Source organism: Homo sapiens, chromosome 16 (genome assembly GCF_000001405.40).
Source record: "Homo sapiens chromosome 16, GRCh38.p14 Primary Assembly".
NCBI classification, from domain to species: domain Eukaryota; kingdom Metazoa; phylum Chordata; class Mammalia; order Primates; family Hominidae; genus Homo; species Homo sapiens.
In genome coordinates, this window is record NC_000016.10 from 86,375,453 (window position 1) to 86,380,682 (window position 5,230).

At 50.2% G+C, this 5,230-nt stretch overlaps 1 annotated feature.

Annotated features, from left to right (window-relative positions):
- Nucleotides 1,726-2,262: an enhancer, noted in NCBI's record as "H3K4me1 hESC enhancer chr16:86410784-86411320 (GRCh37/hg19 assembly coordinates)". NCBI's record gives its function as "activates a minimal SCP1, AML or CMV promoter by ChIP-STARR-seq in naive H9 embryonic stem cells {active_cell/tissue: H9 hESC(naive)}" and the evidence as "EXISTENCE:reporter gene assay evidence [ECO:0000049][PMID:30033119]".

Consider the following 5,230-nt stretch of genomic DNA (forward strand, 5'->3'; position numbering starts at 1 on the left):
GCCTATGTTCATGCTTTTATACATAAATGAAATCATACAGTATGTTCTTTTGTTTCTAGATTCCTTGACTCAACATTGAGTAGGTGACATTCATTTGTGTTGCAGCCTGTGGTTGTGACTCATTCATTCTCGCTGCTGCACAATATTTCACTACATCTAAACACCAGCACATCTTTGTTTCTAACAGCTGTCCGGTATCCTCACATGCGGGAGTAAAGTGCTGTATTTAACTGGTCCTCTTTGAATGGACTTTGGGAGACTTTCTGTTTGGGGGTGATGACCAGCAATGTTGCAATTCTATTCCTGAACATATCCCTTGGTGTGCTTTCACCAGTATATAGGCAAATTTCTAGCTTGTCTTTTAAAATGTATCTGCTTCTGAATTGCTGGGCTAATTAAAGAATCATATGGTCCTTTTGTAATTAAAACAAATCCAACGAAACGCATTCAAATTGCCAAAGTACCCCAGCAGCAAAGTGGAGTCACTTACTCTCTCCCTCTCCTGCCTCCATGAAGTGACATATTCTTCCTCCTCTGCGGGCACAGCCTTGAAGCTCACGATCCTTCCACTGCTCTTCCCTCTGGAATGTCTGGAAACAATCTGAAGCCTCGTGAATTTTATAGGCTCTAAGCATCCATCAGCTGACCTAATCATTTTCAGAGACCTGAAAGTCAGTGTTATCGCCGGTACTACCAAACCTTCACCCGTCGGAAATTGGAATGGGAAGATTGGTTGCAGTCCATTTCTCCAGAGAAAATGCTCTGAATTGAGGAGGAAAAGGTCTAGTCAGACCCATTTTCATTAAAGAATGAGAATCCAGGAGGCCTGAGAGAGCTAATAAAAAGAGCTGTAAAATGCATTGCTAAATTAAAAAAAAAAAGGTTTCTTTAAGGCATGTGTAATACATATTCTATTGCAGTAAAAGGGGGAAATCACTTACATACACATGAAAACAAACCCTTACCACCTTTGAGGCTATCATGCACATTAGAGAGACTCTGAAAGGGGACATCAGGCACTGCAGAGAGATGAGGGGAATGAGACGAGCCAGACTTGGACCTCGCATAGTCTTCCTTTCTGTACTGTTTAAATGTTCTAGCCATAAGCATTGTATTGTTTTTCTATTACTGTGTAACAATTTACCACAAATTTAGTGGCTTAAGACAACACACATTTATTAACTCAGTTTCTGTGGGTCAAGAGTCTGAGTGCAGCTTTGCTGGTGCCCGGCTCGGGGTATCACAAGGCTCAGTCAGGGTGTCAGCTGGGCCACATTCTCATCAGACACCCAACTGGGGAACGATTCTCCTCCAAGTGCCCTCAGATTATTGGCAGAATTGTTTCCCCTGAAGCTATAAAGCTCATAGCAGCTGGTGTCTTCAAGGCCAACAAGAGAGTCTTGTATTTCTTTTTTTTTTTTTTTGTATTTTTATTTATTAATTATGTCCCTACACTTCCTTGTTTTTTTCTGCTGTGTGTAAACAGTTGGGCCCATTTCCTTCCATAAATGACCATCCTCAGTATGTCAGCCACTTCCTCCATATCACGAAATGGTTGCCATGGTTCCAGCTGTCATTTGCTGCTTTCATAATTTCCAATGGAAGAAGGCAAACTGTTTCTTCATGTCTCTTTTTGAGATCACTAAGCCTAGATGGTCAGCACTCTGTACTTTCCACCCGCATGTCCCTCCATGAGCCAAAATGGTCTAGAGCTAGGCAGATGGGCTCACGTAAGTTACCAAACTCAGCCTCCAACACTTACTACATGACAATGCGTGAGTCCTTTCATCTCTCTGTGACCCAGCTTTCTCATCTATAAAAGCTGATAACAATAGTATCCATTTCAAAAAATTGTTGTGATCATTAAATGAGGTTATGGATGCATTTGAGCCCAGGGAGTTTTTAAGATCCTCACTATTGTGGTCATTGTTGTTGTTATTATTATTACTAGCCTGGGGCAGTGTCTGGCTTAACAAATACTTGAGTTGATGACTGATTGACGGGTGGGAACGCTGACATGTGTGGAACCCAAAGAAAGGAGCCGAGGTGTGGGAGAAGCAGGAGCTGACAAGCAGCTTGCATGGGACCACCCAGCACGCGGCCTCAGGCCTGGGCCGAGCCTTCGGGAGTGACTGATTCCCTGTCCGAGTGTGGACCCTGAGCCGGCGGGCCGCCCCCAGTCCGTCTGGGCCCTTTGTTTTTATCTGGCCTGCCCTGTGGCCCTCAAGCGAACGCTCCGTGTCATTACTGCGCTTGAGACGCTCAGGTACCAGCTCGTTTGTCAATCAGCACCGAGCATTTCAGTTGTCAAAGACGCAGAGGTCTTTGTGCAATGACAGCCGTCCTCCCCGCCCAGAGGGCCCCCAGCTGCTCTGTGAGGAGCCGCGAAGGAACAGCCGGCCCTGGGAAAGGGCTGATAACTGGGGCCAACCCTGGTGGCCTGCTCAGCCTGAAGAGGAGCCCAGCCCAGCCCTAGATCCACCTCAAGGGGATTTAAGGATGCAAAACAGGGCCGAGGCCTTGTGAACTGTGGCCCAGGGACTCTGTGCAATTGGACCTTCTCTTCACCGCTGCTGAATGACTCCGGATGGGTTAGCCTCTCTGAGCCTCAGTCTCCTCTTCTGAAAACATGAGAGGGTGGAACCAATCATTGCTGAGTTCTTTCAGCCTGCAATTCTACAGCCAGTTCTGGGAGGGAGATGGGCAGCCCTAGGAAGCCCGAAGGACACGCAGGTGGGAAGGTGCCAGGAGGGGCAGGGGACAGGGTTGAACTGGCTGAGGCTCATTCTCCAGACTTCACCTCTGAGGCACCCTCAGAAGTAGTGTCTGCAGGTGTCTTCCTCGCAGACCAAGGGGAGGTGAGGACCAGCACCAGCAACAATGCAACACTCGCACAAACTCGCAGAGACGACATGCTCACACGGGCTGGCATGGGAGACGGATTTTCTTCTTTAGGTCGTTGTATGGGTCTCCTGGGGCTGCTGGGACAAATGACCACAAACTGGGGGCTTAAACAATAAAAATTTACTTTCTCACACTTCTGGATGACAGGAATCCAAGGTCAAGGTGTGGGCAGGGCCATGCTCCCCCTGAGGGCTTGAGGGCAGAGTCCCTCTTTGTCTCTCGGTCACTGGTGGCTCCAGGTGTTTCCTGGCTTGCAGACGCCTCACCCCAGCCTCTGCCTCCACTCTGCATGGCCTTCTTCTCTGGGTTTCTGGGGCTTAAGTGTCCCTCCCCTATCTCTTATAAGGACACTAGCCATTGGATTTAGGGCCCACCCTAAATCGGGATGGTCTCATCTTGAGATCCTTAGTTGAATCACATCTGCGAAGACCCTAGTCTTAAGCGAGTTTCCGTTTACAGGTTCTGCGGGTTAAGACGGGGAACATTTTGGGGGTCCCCGTCCCACCCTCTGGGGGCGGCTGAAGTGCTTGAGAGGCCTGCTGTCACATGTCCTCTCAGTCCTGGCTTTCGTTTATTCGAAGCTGCCGTTCCTCCTGGGGCTGCCTGGTTACTTCCTAAGCCTGCATCTTCCATGTAACCCTGAGCTCCACGAGGGCCACACTTGCTGCTCAGCCCTCTGTCCCCAGGGGCACACACAGGATTTGGCCCAGGGTTTGTGGGTGTGTGGGGTATCATTATCCAATGAGAGAAGGCCCAAATGATTGACAGAACCAAAGTTTAGTGGCAATGGTCTCTGCGCCTCCGGGTACACTCGGTGGCTCGCGGCCACGGCTATTTGGTGCTTTCCCTTCGTGAACCATTAACTTTTTTGGAGCCTGAAGTCAAGTCCAAATGACCTGGCTTGCTGAGGTCTGGAGACCAGGGAAGCAGCCCACCAAGGGAATTTCCTTCCGAAGTTGCAGCCCATCCCCAGGGCTCCAGTGCCGCCAGGACACAAGGAGGCCAGGAGAGCTGGGAGGAGGGACAAGCCGAGTGGACGGCGCAGAGCTGCATTCTCGGCATGGAGAAGAGCCTCCAGACACAGATGCCATAAGGTGCAGGGAGAGGCCAGCCCTAAACCCTGGTTCAGTTCTGCAGCACAGTCCCCACCCCGCTCTGTCCCCCGGAACATAGCCCGAGATGCTTGTGGCTGGTTCTGCAACGTTGCCAGCTTCCTGTCATTGCCCCTTAAAAAAGAGAAAATTCCTGTTGTTTTAGGATTAAGTAATCAGCATGTCATTTATTTCTCCAAACCACAAGTTCAGGGCCTGCCGAGGAGCTGACCTTGGCACCAGGAAAATGCTGGGCTGGTGGCTGAGCCCGAACCGACTCTGGGGAAGCTGTTGCTGCCTGAATCCTGGAGGGAGGGCTGGGCTGGCTGCAAGTTCCCAGGAGCATCCCGTCGCCTGTGTAGACTCTATTTTTACCTGTGTAAAATTGAAAAGCAACAGCAGGCATGAGAAATGCCAAACTTGAGAGCTTCCTGTGGGCAGACCCTGCTCAGGGAGCTGACCTGGACTACTGTGTTTAAACTTCCTAACAGTTCTATGACGTAGGTACTATAATCACGTTATTTCACTCAAATGCAGCAGCATGGACTTAGAGAGGTTAAGAAACTTGCCCAAGGTCACAGAGCCAGCAAGCAGCAACCTCAGGACTTGAACTTAAAACTGAGCTCTTGTGATTTTTGTCTCACCCAATGCCCCAAGGGGAAGATAGAGAGCCGAGATGGTGCCGAGAACGGGACACCCCTGGTTACATTCCCATCAGAAAGAGGAAGGAGGGGCACGTGCCTCTGGCCTGTGAACTCATGAAGTCCAGGGGCAGCCCTGGAGGGGCCGTCCTGGAGTGGGAACTGCGCCCTGACCAGGCTTGGCTCTGCTCTGTGACAGGAGCACCCTGGCCTGCTCTTCCTCATAGTTCAGGGAGGTTCTTCCTCACCCTTCATCCTCTTGAGCCGCCTGTGAACACTGGGGGCCCTCCGGGGGTGGGGGAGCTGCACAGTGTTCAGGGCCACATCCCGCCTGCAGAAGGTGGGGAGACCAAGTCTTTAGCTGGCAGTACAACCCTCCTAAAAACCTAGTAGCCTTCTTAGGTTGGATTACAATTGATCTCATGAAGCAATAAACAGACCCACAGGGAGGCACAGCGTGTGTTCCAGGTGTAGCACTCAGACACACTTCTTTCCCTTTTCACCTCTCACACTTCGCATTCTGCACAGACAGTCGTTGGACTTTGCTGGGAAGGTCTCACCACTAACCTTGGCCATGAATCATTTTATCCAACT